At 43.3% G+C, this 20,578-nt stretch overlaps 1 long non-coding RNA gene and 1 pseudogene across 1 annotated transcript in view, besides 1 other annotated feature; both read left to right on the top strand.

Annotated features, from left to right (window-relative positions):
• The window catches only part of SMAD3-DT (SMAD3 divergent transcript), a 79,976-nt gene that overhangs the window by 46,973 nt on the left and 12,425 nt on the right, over nucleotides 1-20,578 (top strand). The window lies entirely within an intron of this gene.
• Nucleotides 8,412-8,590: a silencer, noted in NCBI's record as "fragment chr15:67300958-67301136 (GRCh37/hg19 assembly coordinates)". NCBI's record gives its function as "represses an EF-1alpha promoter that drives an FKBP-Casp9 reporter gene in an ReSE screen in K562 erythroleukemia cells {active_cell/tissue: K562}" and the evidence as "EXISTENCE:reporter gene assay evidence [ECO:0000049][PMID:32094911]".
• HMGN2P47 (high mobility group nucleosomal binding domain 2 pseudogene 47) lies at nucleotides 16,013-16,594 on the top strand (annotated as a pseudogene).

Here is a 20,578-nt window from a genome sequence, read left to right as displayed (position 1 = left end):
ATTATTTGAGATGGAGTCTCACACTGTTGCCCAGGCTGAAGTACAATGGCAGGATCTCAGCTCACTGCAACCTCCGCCTCCTGGGTTCAAGCGATTCTCCTGCCTCAGCCTCCCGAGTAGCTGGGTTTACAGGCGCCCACCACCATGGCTGGCTAATTTTTTGTATTTTTAGTAGAGACAGGGTTTCACTATGTTGGCCAGGCTGGTCTCGAACTCCTGACCTCAGGTGATCCGCCCACCTTGTCCTCCCAAAGTGCAGCTGCATCTTTTCTGATTGGTGCAGACCTCCCAATTGGCCTGGCTGTTGCATGCATAGTGAAAATGTGGCTGAACAAAGGGAGGCGATTGTCAGTGTCAGAAGTGAGTTCAGGTCCAAGCTTTCTGGTTTCTGAACTGGAATGTCTTTGCCATTATCTAGTCCAAAGCATTTCAGATTTTTCCAATGAAGAGCCCCTACTGGCACACAGGAAACAGCTCAGACACCAGGGATCAGGGTTATGAAATGAAGTATGCGGCAGCCACTAAAAGCCTAGTGTATCTCTAATTTCTCTAAAACCTCATGTTTTAGCATAAAAGCGCATGCAGTGTTGCATCCTACTCTGACATACTTGGGTGCTTTGGGGTTTTAAAATTATATTTGGAATTGCTTACCTTCATATGAAATTGACACTCAAAGAAGGTGCACCAGCTTTGTCCCATGACCCTCCCGTTAGAGCAGCAGTCAGAAGTCAGATCGTCTCCCTCCACCTTTCTTTCTTTCCTTCCCTCGCTCCCTCCCTCTCTCTCTCTTTCTTTCTTTTCTTTTCTTTCTTTCTTTTTTTTTTTTTTTGAAGGAGTCTTGCTGTGTTGCTTAGGCTGGAGTGCAGTGGTGCAATCTCAGCTCACTGCAACTTCCACCTCCCAGGTTCAAGCAATTCTCCTGCCTCAGCCTCCTGAGTAGCTGGGACTACAGAGGTGCGCCACCATGCCTGGCTAATTTTAGTATTTTTAGTGGAAATGGGGTTTCAAAATATTGGCCAGGCTGGTCTCAAACTCCTGACCTCGTGATCTGCCTGCCTTGGCCTCCCAAAATGCTCAGATTACAGGCGTGAGCCACCACACCCGGCCCATCCCTCCACCTTTCTTACACCTGTGCATACACACATACACAATCACACAAACTACAATTGAGACTGAGGTCCAGAGAGGTGGTCACATGGCCAAGATCACACAGCAAGCGCGTGGGTCTAGCTCCATTAACTCCCTATCCATTGCTCCTTCTTTGCAACTCCATTGCCAAGGAATTGAGGATGGCATAGTTTTTACTGGGGAATCTCAGATTTCCTGTTTGATATTGGCAGATGAAATTAGGAATGGGGAACAGAGGTTTAGAGTGGAAAACAAGTAATTTAATTATTTGGGTCCCATAACTAGGTTCTGATGCTTTGAAAACATGACACTATTGTATTTATGTAAATAGCCATGCTCGAGGGAGGATTTGACAGGCCTCAAGGAGGCCTTTCTCCTCCAAATTATCTTCTCTATTCTGGTGTTAAGACTTGAAATCCACCTTCAAGTTAAGCATTGTCCTTTCCCCCAGGTCATTGCTATGGGTTGAGTTAGTCCCTCTGAAATTCATATGTTGAAGTCTTAACCCTCAGTATGTCACATCATTTGGAGACAGGGCCTTCACAGAGGTAACCAAATCAAAATGAGGTCATTTGGGTGGGCCCTAATCCAAAAACACTGGTGTCCTTATAAGAAGTGGAGGCCGGGCGCGGTGGCTTACACCTGTAATCCCAGCATTTTGGGAGGCCAAGGCAGGCAGATCACCTGAGGTCAGGAGTTCCAGACCAACCTGACCAACATGGAGAAACCCAGTCTCTACTAAAAATACAAAATTAGCTGGGCATGGTGGCACATGCCTGTAATCCCAGCTACTCGGGAGGCTGAGGCAGGAGAATCGCTTGAACCCGGGAGGCGGAGGTTGTGGTGAGCTGAGATCACGCCATTGCACTCCAGCCTGGGCAACAAGAGCTAAACTCCATCTCAAAAAAAAAAAAAAAAAGTGGAGATTTGGGCCGGGCACAGCGGCTCACATCTGTAATCCTAGCACTTTGGGAGGTGGGAGGATTGGTTGAGCCCAGGAATTTGAGACCAGCCTGGGCAACATAGTAAGACCCCATCTCTACAAATAAAAAAAAAAAAATTAGCCAGGTGTGGTGGCATGTGCTTGTGGTCCCAGCTACTCAGGAGTCTGAGACAGGAGGATCACCTGAGCCCTGGAGTTTGAGGTTGCAGTGAGCCATTATCGCACCTCTGCACTCCAGCCTGGGTGATGAAGCGAGACCCTGCCCTTCCCCACTGGCCTCCCGCAAAAAAAAAAAGAAGAGGAGATTTGGACACAGAGATACACATAGAAGGAAGAAAGATGGTGTGAGGGAAAAGACGGCCATCTACAAGCCAAAAAGAGAGACCTGGACAGATCCTTCCCTCACAACCCTCGAAAGGAACTAACCCTGCTGGATAACTTAATTTCACACTTTTAGCCTCCAGAACTATGAAAGGATGCATTTCTGTTATTTAAACTACTCAGTTTGTGGTACTTTGTTATGGCAGTCTTAACAAACAAACAGAGTCATCTTTGTGAAGCCTTGTGCTTCTGGGAAGGAAAGCACAGCCAGATTCCTACAGCAGAAAAGCATGATCTTCCCTTAGTAAAGGGATTATTTCTGCCTCTGTCTTTGAGCTGGACCCTCTGTAGGTAACTCACACACAACATCTAATTTCCTCTTCACCAGAGGGATACATAATAAGGACAAAAATTAATGCTCATATTCACTGAGCATTTACTATGTACCAGGCAGTTTTTAATGATTTACATTTGATACCCACTACTAGGAGGTATGAGGGACTATTATTCCTATTTTACAGATGAGGAAACTGAGTCCCACTGAGGTTACGTGTCCCAGTGAGGTTACGTGTCCAGCCCAAGTCACTCAGCTAACAGTAAGTGACTGGACCAAAATTAGAAAACACGTTCCACCCACCTTTCTAACCCCTCTCAGAATGAATGAGCTTCCTGCAACTTTCCTTCGGAGCCAATGGACAGGGAGCTGACCCCAGGCCATGGTGGGCTAATGCAGGAAGAAGAGGAAGGTGGAGACAGCCATCGGTGCCTGAAACCTGCACCTTCTGTCCTGCAAGGCAGCCCTCCCTCAGCCCCACTGCAGGTTCAATGGGCTTGGGCCTAAGTTGGGGCTGACGTCAGCTGAGGGAAATTCGACTTGGAGAACAAAAGCTTCCACCACAGGAAAAAACTTCCTGTTCAAGTCCTGGCAAGAGAGCTCGGGTTTCAACCACACAGCTGGTAAAGTCATCGGCTGGTCGTGGGCTGGCGACGCAGGGGCTCCCAAGGGCACGGAGCAGCTGGGCGGAAGGCCTGGAGATCTCTTCCCGCCAGGCTGCAGGGGTCTGATCAGAGAGACCCAAGATTCCCCTGTGGATGGTGGTGGGGAAGGGCTGAGGCCAGGCCTTGTCAAAGTCCTTTCCCACCTCTGACTTTGGCCAATCCTCCCAAACGCGTAGAGCCAAGCAGCCATCATCAGTGCGCCCATATCCATTTGCCAGTAAAGAAACCAAGTCCAGAGAGGGGTGGTCAGTATCTCAATGATAGTCATCAAATTAGATGGGGGGTGGGGGGAGTGGGAGGACTTGAACCCAGTCCTTGATCTCTTCCTGAGTTCTCGGTTCTTTGGTTACTAAACAAAGGAGGAAAAAGATCTAACAAAGATCTAGGTGAAAAGGAGACAAATTCCAAAGACCCCATTTTTCCAGCCACCCATCCTGCCTCAGCAGAGCACTGAGGGCTGGGTGGAAGAACATTCACTCATTCATCCATTCAGCACATCAGGCACCCACCATGTGGATGCCATCCAGCCTGGGAGCCACATGTGCCCAACTAACTTGTTTTAAGTCCATTCAGCAAGGTGGGGCTCGAGATCCAGGCAACAGAGGAAGTAACGAATGGAATGGACATAAAGTTGGTGGATACATGAAAGGTATCATTGTTAATAATATTGTTCCCCTGTTCAGCACATGTTTTAGTCAAGCACCAATTATTAGCAAGGCACAGAGGCACAGTGCTCCAGCTATGTCTGCCAGGCTATGTGCCAGTCACTTTACATGGAATTTCATTTCATCTTTACATCCACCCTATGAGGTGGTGAAGTGGACACCAGGATCTACAAGCTCCCTTTTTTGGGAATTTGGACCCCTCCCCCATCACATGGGTGAGTCCCTGAGGCCACGTTTGTACCTAGTGGTCCCGCCTTATGGTCATAGGTGATTAGATTAGGAGTGGGCATGTGGCTCAAGCTGGGCCAATCAGGTTCTCTTTGTGGAGAATTTATTTATTTATGGAGATGGAATCTCACTCTGTCACCCAGGCTGGAGTGCAGTGGCGTGATCTCGGCTCACTGCAACCCCTGCCTCCCGGGTTCAAGCAATTCTTCGGCCTCAGCCTCCCTAGTAGCTGGGCCTACAGGAGTGCCTCACCACGCCCTGCTAATTTTTATATTTTTAGTAGAGACAGGGTTTTGCCATGTTGGCCAGACCAGTCTTGAACTCCTGACCTCAAGTGATCCACCCGCCTTGGTTTCCCAAAGTGCTGGGATTCTTTTTTTTTTTTTTTTTTTTTTTTGAGATGAAGTCTCAGTCTGTCACCCAGGCTGGAGTGCAGTGGTGCGATCTGGGCTCACTGCAACCTCTGCCTCCTGGGTTCAAGAGATTCCCGGGAGGCAGAGTGTGTGTGTGGAGGATCTCGGGTGCGGAGTAGCCACCACACTCAGCTACTTTTTGTATTTTTAGTAGAGATGGGGTTTTGCCATGTCGGTCAGGCTCGTCTCAAACTCCTGACTTCGGGTGATCCACCCACCTCAGCCTCCCAAAGTGCTGGGCTTACAGACATGAGCCACTGCGCCCAGCCAAGTGCTGGGATTCTTTGTGGAGAGTTTAGAATTGAGATGTCATATTAACTGAGGCTTATCAGAACTGAGGGGTTGAGGGGGAGAAGAGAGTAATGCAGCAGGTAGCTGAGGGTGGTAGAGAGGCTGGTGGCCTTCCTGTCCAGGTTCTAAGCAAAGTCTGGTTGCTTTCCCTCCTGGGCCCCTCCAGGCTTGCTACATTCTTATGATGCATTCTGGTTTTGCCTAAGCTAGCTTGAGCCAGTTTCTGTCACTTGCATCCAAAGAGTCCTCGGTAGAACAGCGAGTTCCATGATGGCAAGGGACTGGGTCTTGTTCACTAAAGTGTCCTTAGGACCTGGTACATAAAAAGGGCTCCATAAATGTTAGTTGAATTAATAAAAAGTGGAGGTTCCGAGAAGTTAATTGATTTGGACCCGAGCCTCACAGTAAGTAACAGCTGGACTTTGAACTGGGTCTACCGGCTTCAGAGCATGTGCCTTTTCTGCCATACCAGGCTGGCTTTTATAAATTGTTCTCCTTATTATTATATTAAAATCACAGGTAGTCAGAACTAGAGTGAACCTGAAGACTAGTAAGTTTTATTGTTTTGTAGACGAGAAATTGGGGCCTAGGGAGGGGAAATGGCAGAAGTTTCTTGATTCTCATGCAGCTACCTAACCCGAGCTGACGTTTAATTATCATGTGTGTGACACTGCTGTGCTTGCTGTTTGAGTACTGAAATGTTTTCATACCAGTTGATGACTAGCAGCTGCCTCAAGCCCTTAGTGTCCCCTCCTCTGTAGCCCCAGCCTTCAGAACCCCCGGGCTTCCATTATCCACAAGCAAAGGGGTTGTGCTGAGTCCAGCACGGCTCTCCAGGTCTATTCTGATTGGTCAGTATCTGTGCCACTCGACCTGTTAAATATCAGCCTTGAATTTACCTAGTGTGATTTGAAGAGTTCTGGTTACTTTGTCTCTCCATTAAAGAGAAGTGGGGATTTTAAAATATAGCAAAAATAGCATTGCTATCCTTCCCCTCTGCCTCCCATGGCAGCTCAAATTCTACTGTTCAGAAACATTTCATGTATCCACTCACCCCTTCATTCCACAAATATTTACTGGGTGCCGATTCTGTGACAGGCTTTTGGCCCCCAGGAGCTCTTGTTCCCCACCACCTAAAATGTAAATTCCCCTGGGGAGGGAGGAATCTGAAGTTGGTATGGCCTGCATGCCATGGGGGTGATTTGGTAGTGGCAGGGATGACCCACTGGGCTGGCTTAGCCACCTGCAAAAGGTCAGCAACAAACAGGCAGACCAAAAGAAGTAATCGAGAGGGAGAAAGATAATACAGAAATAAACAACTGTATTTCAGCACATGTGTAAGTTGCATGGCACATCAAAACACCAACATTTAGGCCAGGCACGGTGGTTTACACCTATAATCCCAGCACTTTGGGAGGCCAAGGCAGGCGCGGATCACTTGAGGTCAGGTGTTCGAGACCAGTCTAGCCAACATGGTGAAACCCTGTCTCTACTAAAAATACAAAAAGTTAGCCAGGTGTGGTGGCAGCCGCCTATAATCCCAACTACTGGGGAGGCTGAGACAGGAGAATTGCTTGAGCCTAGGAGGAAGAGGTTGCAGTGCGCCGAGATTGCACCACTGCACTCTAGCCTGGGTGATGGAGTGAGACTCTGTCTCAAAAACAAACAAACAAACGACAACAAGAAAAAGCACCAACATTTATTTTATGAATTGGTGATGTTATTCTTTTGATTTACATATGTTGGAGGTAGATGGCATAATGGGCCTTCAGGGGTTGGGGCTCTAAAGATCTTAGCTGGGTTGAGCTGGCAGGCAGTGGAGGGCAAATTGCATGATCACAGATCTGGGCTGGACACCTGGGCTGAGCTGACGTTCTAGGAGGAGGAGTGAAGAATCCAATATGTGTTAAGGATGTCTACGTGCCTGTCCCATCCTAGGAATTTATATGTAGTATCTCATTACACTTCAAACAGCACTAGGTAGTAGATTTTATGATTCCATTTTACTGATGGAGGAAACTGAGATTCAGGATTTCTAAGCAGTTTTCACAAGGCGACATTACTAGTAATTAATGGAATTGGGATTTGCACCTGGATCTGGCATTTGGTAAATATTTGTTGAAAGAATGATCTTTCTGGCTCCAAAGTCCATGCCCTGTTACTACAGTTGAGAGAAAACCACCACCCCACACAAATATTAATAATAGCTGGCACTTATAGAGTACTGACTAAATGCTAAGCACTGTTCCAAGCACTTTATATATGTCAACTCATTTACACCTCATTTGACAGGTGAGGAAGCCAAGGCATAGAGAGATAAGTCGCCCAAGGTCTCAGAAGTGGCACACGGTGTAGCCCATGTTTAATCCAGCTGTCTGGCTGCAGGTCAGCCCTGAGCCTCTCTATACCATCCTGCCTGTTTCCCACAGCCCCACCCATTCAGGGTTTGATGATTTCATTTTCTTTTCACTAGTTTGGTAAGCATGCACTGATACCCAGAGCTTGTGTGTTTGCATTCCTCTTGTTTCTGGTAGAACTATGTACTTTTTCATGTTTTGATTTACCATCTGTGCTTCCTGTGTAAACTGTCTGTTCACCTCCTTTGTTGCTTACGGAGTGGAATCTGGGCACTGATTTTAGCTTTTTGTAAAAAAGCAAAAATTAATAAATTTTAGATGTATCGCTGGTTGGTTATTTCTTCCAGGCTGTTATTTTCCTCTTGTGACTGTCCTATATTTTATTCAATAAAAGTTTCCTATTTTTTAATTGATTTTTTTTGTCTCTGATTATGGATTTTCTTCCAATACGATCAATGTGGGATTGCATGTTCAAGTCTTTTTTATGGTTTGTTTTTCAGACAGGAACATAATCTCATGCAATTTATTGCAGAAAATGGTACAAAGTGTGAGTAACTCTTCTCCACATTACAATTCTCTCCAAATCATTTATTATATGATAATTATTTTCTTCACTGGATTGTTGAACTATTTTTAGTTTTACTATATATTGGATTAATTTGGGATAGTTTAATCTTTTCCATTGATCATTTTTTCCCCATTGTTACCATATAGTTTGGATAATTGTCACTTTGTAATATGTTATGAAATCTGGTAGGCTAAATATACTATCATACCCTTTCAAGAGAAGCTTTAGTCTTTTTAACCATTTAATCTGGTAACGACATCACTATTCATTTAATCAAGGTCTTATAAAGTATCCTTTAGGGGCTTTGATAGGTAGTACATTAAATCTGGCTGGGAGCAGTGGCTCATGTCTGTAATCCCAGCACTTCGGGGGGCTGAGGTGGGCAGATCACCTGAGGTCAGGAGTTCGAGACCAGAGTGACCAACATGATGAAACCCTGTCTCTACTAAAAATACATAATTAGCCAGGTGTGGTGGCGCATGCCTGTAATCCTAGCTACTTGGGAGGCTGAGGCAGGAGAATCACTTGAACTGGGGAGGCAGAGGTTGCAGTGAGCTGAAATTGTGCCATTGCACTCCAGCCTGGGCAACAAGAATGAAACTCCGTTTCCAAAAACAATACTAACAAGATTAATGAATAAATGAATAAATAAATAAATAAATCTATACAGAAACTTAAGGTAAATTGTTGCCTTTGCTATTTCTAGTCTTCTATGCTGGAATGGGCATACCTTCCTCTTATTTTCATCTTCATTTATTTCTCCCAAGAGAGTTCTATGAACTTCTTTGAAGAAATCTTATGACATGAAGTAAACTAATGTTCAAGTGTTGAATGTTTGACATTAACTAAAGGGAATACTTTTTCCTGTGTGACTTCTATCTGCATGACACTAGTATACACATCAGAATGGAAGCTCTTGGCTCATGGGAAGTTTGGAAGACTTGGAAACTGGTTACTACCCTTGGAGAGTGGCCAGTACCTGGGTAGCTGCAGGCAGGGGGAGGATGGGGCCAGGGGTATGCAGATTTGGGGGCCTGAGGGAGTTCTGCAAGAGGGAAGCCCCCACTGGGGAGTGAGCCCACATGATTGGGCACGGCCTGGCACAGAGGGCATGTGCCAGGCATGTGGGTGGGGAGCAGGAGTACTATTTGGCCCAGGCCTCAAATGTAGACTACTGACATCTCCAGATGAGATTATTGACAGTCAGTGGGTCCCTCGGAGAGGCCATTGGCTATAGGGGTATGGCATCCTCAGAATCTCTGTTCTGCTCTTTACCAGAATATGCTGTGAGTATTTCACAACTGCGTTCAGCAGGAGGCAGGAGTCTGTAAGTTCTGTTTTTTGTTTTTGTTTTTGTTTTTTTTTGAGATGGAGTTTTGCTCTTGTTGCCAAGGCTGGAGTGCAATGGCATGATCTCAGCTCACCTCAACCTCTGCCTCCTGGATTCAAGCTATTCTCCTGCCTTAGCCTCCCGAGTAGCTGGGATTACAGGGATGCACCAGCACACCCAGCTAATTTTGTATTTTTAGTAGAGATGGGGTTTCTCCATGTTGGTCAGGCTGATCTCAAACTCCCAACCTAAGGTGATCTGCCCGCCTCGGCCTCCCAAAGTGCTAGAATCACAGGGTGAGCCACTGTGCCTGGCCCTGTAAGTTCTGTTAAATGCCTACTACACACACCAAATCCTCTGCTTGGAACTCTACCATTGCTACCTTTTTAAATCCTCACTACAGCCTGACGAGGTACATATCATTACACCCGTTTTGAGATGTGGAAACTAAGGCTGCAAGAGGTTAAGGTCAAAGCCCAAAGACCAATTGCTAGTACATTTCAGAGCCCACCATTGAACTTGGCATTGTGTTCAGAGCCCATATCCTTATTCTTTCCATTCACCACTCTGCCTTATCTGAGAGCAGGGTCTCAGTGAGTGCTTGTCACTTGGGGAAGAATGAAACATGAGCAAGTCCCAAGTCTTGACCAGGTCATTCATTCACTCGCTGTCGGTCACATGCTCCACTTCTCCCAGGGCGACATCACCCACTCCATGGTTTCGTCCACCCACATCTGTCACATCTGTCCTTCCAACCCTGACTTCTTTCCTAAAGTTGGCACTTGAACAGCCTACTTTCTGATGGTAAATGTAGTAGAATGTCTCATATCTCATGCCAGAAGGGAACGCCCATGTCTCCTTCATCTCCCAAATCTGCTCTTCTCCTGTCCTTTTTCTCTGTGAACGATGCCACCATCGATCTATTATTCACCAAGGCTTCCTGATTTCTTCCTAGACAGGTCTAAATCTGTGTCTTCTTCTCTGACTCTGCAACCACCCCCCTGGGCTGAATCCTGTCCATTTAGCATGTGTCTGACCCTTGGCTGCCTCTCCCCACAAGCCCAGTGCTCTGGTATCCCTTGTGTGTCTCGGGTGGATCTTCCTGAGCCACGACTCTGACCTTCCTGGGCTGAGAAATACCAATACAGTGTTGGCATGAAACCTTAGAACCGGACTTTTGTACCAGCCATGTCAATCATAGCACTTGCCTTTTACATCCCTTCTGAGGGGAGCTGGCCTGCTGCCACTACCTGCTGCAAAAGGGAACCCTGTTTAGGGCCATATAACCCTGCCAGCTTATTGGACCCATCGTGGCCACCTGGCCCCAAGGCAGGTGGTTGATTGGCTGGCCGACAACATATAACGTGGTCTGGTGTTAAAGAGGCATGCTAGGGCTGGGTGTGGTGGCTCACACCTGTAACCCCAGCACTTTGGGAGGCCTAGCTGGGAGGATTGCTTGAGGTGAGGAGTTTGAGACCAGCCTGGGCAACATAGCAAGATCCTAACTCTACAAAATTTGAAAAAATTTTAAAAAGAGGCACATAGGCCAGTCAGATTCTCTCAAGAGAATATGAGCAAAGCAATATGTAGAGACTGAGGCTGTGAGCAATGGAAATTGAGACTGACAAGTCAAGAAGTATAGTTAGGGCTGGCGACGGCCCTTGTGCAATGCAGAGGGTATGTGTCAGAGGAGGAAACTGCTAAGTACAGAGAGGGGAATGGAGCTGACACAGAGTGCAGGGGCCACTGTGAGAAGGAAGCTGTGCATCATGAATAGGACTCTTTAAATGGAATACATTTTGTTTTAGGAAAACCTCTCCACATTGTCATTATTTGCTTGTTTTGCTATAGACCAGTGCAGATTGCAGGGGGATGTTTGGGGTCCCCAAGTTTGTCTGACATCAAACAATCCCTCTTTCAGGCTGGGGCCTTGGGAGAGGCAGCAGAAGTCTCACAAGACCAGAGAAACAGCCTCAGATCTTCCCTCTGGGGAATCCAGACAATAGCAACTGCCGGCTTTTTTCCACTGGAATATTACCACACGTGGCGAGGCACGGATGCTCCACTTCAATATTTAGACTTTGGTGCTATGGAAGTCAGCAGTGTTTGTTATTCTGGTGGCTTGTGTTTGGAGAAATGCATTGTCTCCACCGCAACGCATGATGTGCACGAGTCGTTCCATTGTCTTGCAGCCCAGCCAGCAAGAGATCACAGGGCTGATCTAGCACCAGTTCTTTCTGATAAGGCTCCAGGAGGGTTAGGGCTGGTCTAACTCCCTGAGGAAAGCTGGTTACCAGGCTTTGAGGGCTGGGGTAGGGGACAGGTGTCAGGGCCAGCCCCTTAAGACTGTGGGCAGAGCCACCTTAGTGTATAAAGAAGGGGTTTGCAAGTATAGGCTCTACAGTCAGACCTCCTGGATTGGTAAACTATCTCCACTACTTACCAGCTGTGTGACCTTGGGTAAGACACTTAACCTCTCTGTGCCTCAGTCTCTCCATCTGTAAAATGGAGATAATTATAGTATATACCACATAGAGTTTTATCAGGATTAAATGAAGTAAAATATTAGGTTGACCTATATGAAATTGTCTTTTTTTTTTTTTTTGAGATAGAGTCTCACTTTGTCGTCCAGTCTAGAGTGCAATGGCGCCATCTTGGCTCACTGCAACCTCCACCTCCTGGGTTCAAGCGATTCTCCTGCCTCAGCCTCCCAAGTAGCTGGGATTATAGGCGCCCGCCACCACGCCCAGCTAATTTTTGTATTTTTAGTAGAGACGGGGTTTCACCATATTGGCCAGGCTGGTCTCGAACTCCTGACTTTGTGATCCTCCCACCTCAGCCTCCCAAAGTGCTGGGATTACAGGCATGAGCCACCACGCCCGGTGAAACTGTCATTTTTATAGGCCCCAAATGGTTTATTCTAATACGATTGTGACTAGTACATAGTAAGTGCTTAACAAATGCAAGCTAAAGGCATAGAAAATTATATTAGCATTTGTTATTGTCTCAGCTCTTCTCTGACAGTAAGTACCAGCCATTTTTGAGCAGGCCTTGCCAAGGCTGGTTATCACAGAGGAAAGGGGGTGCTGATGTCCGCTTCAGTGCTGCAGGCACCAGGAGACCATGGACTCCTCAGCGCCAGGCCCAGCTACGCCACCACTAGCAGAGTCACTTCCCCTCTAAGCTCCTTTCTCTGACAGAAATGATCATATTGGACATGCTTATATAAAAACCCCTCCCGGGCTAGGCACGGTGGCTCAAGCCTGTAATCCCAGCACTTTAGGAGGCTGAGGTGGGTGAATCAACTGAGGTCAGGAGTTCGAGATCAGCCTGGTCAACATGGTGAAACCCCTGTCTCCACTAAAAGCACAAAAATTAGTCGGGAGTGGTCGTGGGTGCCCGTAATCCCAGCTACTCAGGAGGCTAAGGCAGGAGAATGGCTTGAACCCAGGAGGCAGATGTTGCAGTGAGCTGAGATCACTCCACTGCACTCCAGCCTGGGTGACAGAGCAAGACTCCAACTCCGAAACAAACAAACAAAGAAAAAACCCCTTCCAGCTCTAGTTGACTCTAAGTATTCTCAGACCACAGCAATTTCTCCTTTTCACTTCCCAGCTCTTTGTGTCACTCAATTGCCAGATGCAAATTAAACCTCTGGGACCTGGTCTCACATTTGTCCCTTGGTTGACTGCTCTATTTTGATAGCTTCTGAGAGCCTCCATAGCCTGTGACAACACATGAGACCATAATTCCTTTTGTTGCTCGAATTCTAACAGCTGGGCCACATCCAGCTTCGCTATAAGAAATATAGGTTTTTTTCACTTCACCTTCCTAAATAATGATGACAACTATTACTTCTTTACCATAACCTAGATGTCAGGCATTGTTCTGGGTGCTTATGTATATTAAGCCATTTAACCTTCACAACAACTCTAGAAAGTATGTAATTTAATGCCCATTTTACTGCTAAGGAAACCTTCTGTCTTACCCAAGATCACGTAGCCAATAAGCGGCAGAACTGGGATTCGAACCTGAGCCATGTTCATGGCCACAACCTCTACTCTCTTAGCAGTTCCTGGAAAGGATTACCTGTTCCACATATCCCTCTCGGTGTCCTCTTGCTCATCCAGTTATTTGGCTCTGGAATCTTGTCCCAGTTAGCGATTCACTTCTAGTGAGTCACGCCGTGAAATCTTCAGAATTGCAGTGTGACTGAATGGTACTGTGAAACACTGCCTTTTGAATCTTCCTTAGGTTTTAACAAAGGACTTCACAGTCACACTCTTCCCTCAGCTTCATCCTAAGAACACAATTTCCTGAGAGGCCCCTGGGTTTAATATTTGCCCCAGAAGCTATTTCTTAATGTTAGCATTGCTTGCTATCTAGAGAGGTGGGAATCTTCATAAATAGCAAGCCCTGTCTCCTTTTTTTTTTTTTTGAGACAAGGTCTTGCTCTGTCACTCAGGTTGGAGTGCAGTGGCGTGAACATGGCTCACTGCAACCTCGATCTCCTGGGCTCAAGCGATCCTCCCACCTAAGCCTCCTGAGTAGTTGGGACTACAGACATGCAACACTACACCTAGCTAAATTTTGAATTTTTTGTAGAGATGAGGTTTTGCCACATTGCCCAGGCTGGTCTCAAACTCCTGGGCCCTAGTGATCTGTTCACCTCAGCCTCCCAAAATGCTGGGATTACAGGTGTGAGGCACTGTGCCCGGCTCCTTTTTAAAAACAAACAAACAAACAAACAATCTTTCCTCTAGCATTTTACTATAAGCAGCAAGCTATGAGGCAGTACCCTCAACAGTCTTGGCTAACAGTCCTTAGCCCAATTACCTAGTTCACTAGTGACATTCTCTAGTTTCCACAAAACCACAGCTGACAGTGTTGCTAACTACATAATAAGAATATATAATAAGAATTACATAGTAACTACATAGTAAGAATCTTCCTTCCTCCAGTTTCCAATAACATGCTCCTCATTTACTTTTAAGTCCTCACCAGCAGTCTCTTCAATGTCCTTCCAGCTCCTACCAATTGCTCAGTTCCAAAACCATTCCTAAATTTTAAGTTTTTATTATGGCAGCCTCCCACTTCTAAATACCGAAGTCTTTATTAGTTATCTATTGCTTTATAAAGAATTACCCAACGCTTAGCAGCTTAAACTTTTTTTTTTTTCCTCCGTGCAGTTTCTGAGGGCCAGGAACCTGGGTGGTTCTGGCTTAGGGCCTTCCATAGGTTGTAGCCAAGTTGCTGGCCAGGGCTGCAGTTATGATTTGACTGGGGATGGAGGATTCACCTCTAACATGGCATCTTTCATGTGGCTGTTGGCTAGAGGCTCAGTTCCTCACTGACTATTGTCAGGAGGCCACAGTTCCTTGTCACAAGAGACTCCAGAAGGCTACTTGGCATAACAGCTGGCTTCCCTCAAAAGAAACTATTCTAAAGAGAGTGACCAAGAGGGAAGTAACAATGCCTTTTATGATCTAGTCTCTGTATTCACACATGATCACTTCTTCTTTATTCTATTGGTCATACAAACCAATCCAGACACACAGGGACTAACAAGGATATGAACACCAGCAGATGAAGATCATCAGTACCATCTTGGAGGCTGGCTACCACAACAGTAAGACACTGAATGCTTTCACCTAACACCTAGAATAAGACAGTGATGTGTACTCTCACCACTTTAACCCAACATTCTAGTGGGAGTTCTAGCCAGTGCAATAAAGCAAAAAATAAAATGCATTCAAATTAGAAAGGAAGAAATAAAACTCTTAATTTGCAGATGACACAATTGTCTAGGTAGAAAATTATAAGGAGTCTACAAAAAAGCCGCTAGAACTAATAAGTGAATTTAAGAAATTTATGGGATACAGGCCGGGCGTGGTGGCCACACCTGTAATCCAGCCTGACAAACGTGGTGAAACCCAGTCTCTACTAAAATATAAAAATTAGCCAGGCATGGCTAATCTCAGTTACTTGGGAGCTTGAGGCAGGAGAATCACTTGAACCCAAGAGGTGGAGGTTGCAGTGAGCCTAGATCACGCCACTGCACTCCAGCCTGAGCAACAGAGTGAGACTCCCTCTCAAAAAAAAAAAAAAAAAAAAAAAGAAAAGAAATGTATAGGATACAGATCAATTTTTTTTGGATGATCAATTGTATTCTTATACACAAGCAACAAAGAATTGGAAATTAAAATTTTAAAAAACCAAAAATATTTTTAAAGGAAAAGTTGCACATGTTCACAACTGAGCAGCTTTCTCAGTCTGCTCCCTGCCAGTAGAATTTGAGGGGTTCAAAGAGCCTCTGTTCATTTTGTACTGTCTCTGTCCCTTTCAGTCTAATCTAGCAGTATTTCTGCCAATATATTTCTTTTAAAACTCTGTGGGTCATCAAAAATATGAAATCCTTAGGGACAAATGTGGCAAAAGATGTGTAAGACCCATGCACTGAAAATATTGCTGAGAGAAATCAAAGATGACCTAAATAAGTGAAGAGATATATATCCTCATGGATCAGATGACTCAGTAATATTAAGCTGTTAATTCTGTTAAAGTTGATCTACAGACTCAGTACTATCCCAATAAAAAACCCAGCATGCTGTTTTTCGTAAAAATAACAAATTGATTCTAAAAACAACGTATGACAGCCCAAACAATTTTGTAAAAGAAGAAGAAAGTTGTTGAAATTGCACAAATTTCCACATCTAAAAAGCTCCAATGATCAAGATAGCGTGGTATTGGTGTCAAGATAGACAAATCGGAGCAGGGTGAAGAACAAGAGGCGAGAACGACCCCTGGACAGACCAACACCTGCGTGCCGCGCTGCATCCCGCACCCAGCGCCTATGTCCCCCCGCCGTTGCCGCCACCACAGTGCCCAAGAGAAAGGCTGAAGGTGATGCTAAAGCAGATAGAGCCAAGATGAAGGACAAACCACAGAGAAGATCCACGAGGTTTTCTACTAAACCTGCTCCTCCAAAGCCGGAGCCCAAACCTAAAAAGGCCCCTGCAAAGAAGGGAGAGAAGGTACCAAAAGGGAAAAGGGAAAAGCTGAGGCTGGCCAGGAGGGGAATAACCCTGCAGAAAATGGAGATGCCCAAACAGACCAGACACAGAAAGCTGAAGGTGCTGCAGATGCCAAGTGAAGTGTGTGCATTTTTGATAACTGTGTACTTCTGGTGACTGTACAGTTAGAAATGCTATTTTTTATCAAGTTTTATAAAAATGCAGAATTTTGTTTTACCTTTTTTTTAAGCTATGTTGTTAGCACACAGAACACTTCATTGTGTTTTTTTGGGGAAGGGGCATATGTCACTAACAGAATGTCTCCGAAGCTAGGTTGACGTGGTGAAAACCCCTTTCCCTTCTAGTTTTGAGAGACTTGCTCTTGGCTCCCAGGAGGAGGGATTCCCTGACTTTGACACACAAGGTCCCTTGGCACAAAAGCCTCGTGGGACGGAAAAACAAATTCGTTTTTATGTCCTCTTCTCCCTTTCCACCTTTCAGCATAGACTTAACTCCCTTAAGCCCAGACACCTGTTGGAGAATGACCCTCAATTATTGGTTACTGGTGTGTCAGGCACTCTGGACTTTCCAGTGATGCCACTGAAATGGAACCCCTCAAAAAAGCAGTGGTTCCATTTCTAGATTGTGGATCTTCAGATAAATTCTGCCATTTTTATTTCACTTCCTGAAAGTCAGGGTCAGCTTGTGAAAAGCTGTTAAACAACATGCTAAATGTGAAATGTCAACATTCCCTCTGAACTTTCCCTGTTCAGAGCATCAGATGAAGACTTCTTGGGTTTTATAGTGGCTTTCTGATTTTTGGTAGTCCATTGAAGAAGGGAATTTGAAAGTTGTCATGCACTGTTAACAATTGTCTGCCCATGTCCTGCCTGAAATACCATGATTGTTTATGGAAAATATCTTTCATAAAGCTGGATACAGTTTGGCTTGGGGAAAAAAAAAGATAGACAAATCACTCAATGGAACAGAATAGAATCCAGAAATAGATCCACACATATATGATCAATTGGTTTTTTAACAATCTTATTGATAGATAATTTACATCACATAATTCACCCATTTAAGTCACAACTCAATGGTTTTAATATATTCACAGTGTTGTGCAATCATCAACAAATCTAATTATAGAATATTTTCATCTACTCTAAGAACAAAACCCATATTCATTAGCTGTCATTCCCCATTTTCCTCCACCAACTCTCAACCCTTAGCCCTAAGCAATCACTAGTCTACTTTCTGTCTCATATATTTGCCCATTCTGCCTCATATTTTTGATATAAATGGACATTTAAAAAAATAGAATCATACAATATGTAGACTTCTTTCACTTAGCATAATGTATTAAGGATCAACCATATTGTATACATATCCATATTTTATTCCATTTTATTGATAAATAATGTCCCATTGCATGAATATATCACATCATGTTTATTCATTCATCATTGATGGGCATTTGGGTTGTTTCCCCTTTTTGGCTATTATGAATAATACATCTGTGACTATTCATGTACAGATTTTTGTGTGGACATATGTTTTTATTTCTCTCGGGTAGATAGGAGTAGAATTGCTGAGTCATATGGTAACTGTATATTTAACTTTTGAAGAACTACCCAACTGTTTCCCAAAGCAGCTGCACCATTTTACAGTCCCACCAGCAATGGATGAGAGTTCCACTCTCTCCACATCCTCACCAACACTTGTTATTATCCTTTTTTTTTTTTTTATTGTAGTCATCTTACTGAGTGTGGAGTGGTACCTAATTGTGGCTTTGGTTTGCATTTCCCTAATGAGTAATGATGCTGAGCACTTTTTCATGTTATTCATGGCTATTTGTAGACCTTCTTTGGAGAAATGTCTACAAAGCCTTTGCCTATTTTTAAATTGGGTTATTTGTCTGTTTATTATTAGGTTGTAAGAGATTGGTTTTTAAAAAAATGTATTCTGGACACGAGTTCCTTATCAGATATGTGATCAAATGTTTCCTCTCATTCTGTGGATAGTCTTTTCACTTTTTAAAAAATATAATTTTTACTATTTTAAAAATATTTTAAACTTTTATTTTAGGTTCAGGGGTACATGTGTAGGTTTGTTATATAGGTAAATTCGTGTCATGGGGGTTTGTTTTACAGATTATTTCATCACCCAGGTACTAGGCCTAGTATCCAATAGTTATTTTTTCTGATCTTTTCCCTTCTTCCACCCTCCACCCTCAAATAGGCTCCAGTGTCCATTGTTCTCCTCTTTGTGTCTATGTGTTCTCATCATTTAACTCCACTTATAAGTCAGAATGTGCAAAATTTGATTTTCTGTTCCCAGGTTAGTTTGCTAAGGGGAATGGACTTCATCTCTATCCATGTTCTATGTGTTCTCATCATTTAGCTCCACTTATAAGTGAGAATGTGCAGAATTTGATTTTCTGTTCCTAGGTTAGTTTGCTAAGGGGAATGGACTTCATCTCTATCCATGTTCCTGCAAAGGACATGATCTCATTCTTTTTTATGGCTGCATAGTATTTCACGGTGTATATGTACCACATTTTCTTTATCCAATCTGCCATTGATGAACATTTAGGTTGATTCCATGTCTTTGCTATTGCTTTTCACTTTTTTGATGCTATTATTAATATTTGCAAAACAATTAAATTTTGATGTGTTTCAACTTATCTACTTTTCCTTTTGTTGCTTGCACTTTAATTTTTATATTTAAGAAACTATGGTCTAGCTCAAGGTAATAATTTACTGCTATGTTGTCTTCTAAGAGTTTTATAGTTTTAGCACTTACTTAGAGGTTTCTGATCCATTTTGAGTTTATTATTGTACATGGTATGAGGTAGGGTTTAAACTTCATTCTTTGGCACCTGGATATCTAGTTGTTCCAGCATCATTTGTTGAAAAAAGTATTCTTTCCCCAGGTTAATTGATTTTTGACAAAGATGTTAAGGCAGTTCAATGAGGAAAGGTTAATATTTCCACCAAATAGTGTTGGAACAATTGGATATCCATATGCAAAAATGTGAGCCTTGATGCTTACTTCACACCAAGTACAAAACCTGGCTCTAAATGGGCCCCCAACCTAAATGTAAGACCTAAAACTATAAAGTTTCTGTAAACAGAAGGAAAAAAATCTAGTGATCATGGGCTAAGCACAGGCTATAAAAGTAAAAGTTGCTGAGTTATGCTTCATAAATATTTTGAAATTTTCTCTCCGAAAGACCAGGTTATGTTAAGAAAGTGAAAAGGCAAACTATAGACTGGAGAAAATATTTGCAAAATATATCTAATAAAGAACTTGTATTTGGAATATATAAATATATCTTATAACTCAACAGTTAAAAGAAAAATAACTCAATTTAAAAATGGGCAAAAGATTTGAATGAATACTTCCCCAAACATTAGATACAGATATCAAATAAGAATATAAAATATTTTTGACATTATGAATCATTAGAAAAATACAAATCCAAACCACAATACACACCCACTAGACTGGCTAAAATTAAAAAGGCCGACCATCATACCACATGTTGGTAAGAATGTGGAACATTTGCATTCCACTAGCATTCATGCACTGCTAGTAGGGTTGTAAAATGGCACAATCACTTTGGAAAACCGTTTGATAGTTATTTAAAAAGTTAAACACATACCTACCATATAGTTCACCCATTCTATTCTTAGGTATTTACCCGAGGGAAACAAAAACATATGTCCACACAAAGACATGTACATGAATGTTCATAAAACATTATAAACATAGGGTTTATATATATGTATATATATATATGGTTATGAGATCTATTTTAAAAGTGGCTAATAAGGTTGTTCGCAAATAACATTATTTATTAGGCATTTGTGACTCCGCTGAGCAGTGAATCAATTGTAATTAGCTATGTTTTGATGGCTTCTTAGTTTAACATTGCTGTTTTATTCAACCTATTGCTAGATAAAATGTATAGATTACACTAAAGTACTATTTATATAAAAACAATATTATAACTACACAAAGAGAAATCAAAATGAAATGGAAAATTCAACCATAATGTACTCTTTGGACAATTCAACTCATTTATTTTTCCTTGTTCCCATCTGGTACTTGTCTGCATGCATAAAACATTGTTACGTAGTTGTAGAAATCCAATTTTGCATTCAGCTTTTGAAAAACAATTGTAATATTGTAATCTGTTTTTCACATTGCTACTTAGTCTTCACAATTATTTTTAATGACCACGTTATTTATTCTGTGGATTTACCACACTTCAACATATCCACGTGTTTTTTAAAATGTTGCTATTAGAAAAAGTT

This window comes from Homo sapiens, chromosome 15, assembly GCF_000001405.40.
Source record: "Homo sapiens chromosome 15, GRCh38.p14 Primary Assembly".
In the NCBI taxonomy this organism is placed as follows: Eukaryota; Metazoa; Chordata; class Mammalia; order Primates; family Hominidae; genus Homo; species Homo sapiens.
Note: the sequence above shows the minus strand (reverse complement) of the source record. Positions and strands in the feature narration are given on the sequence as shown.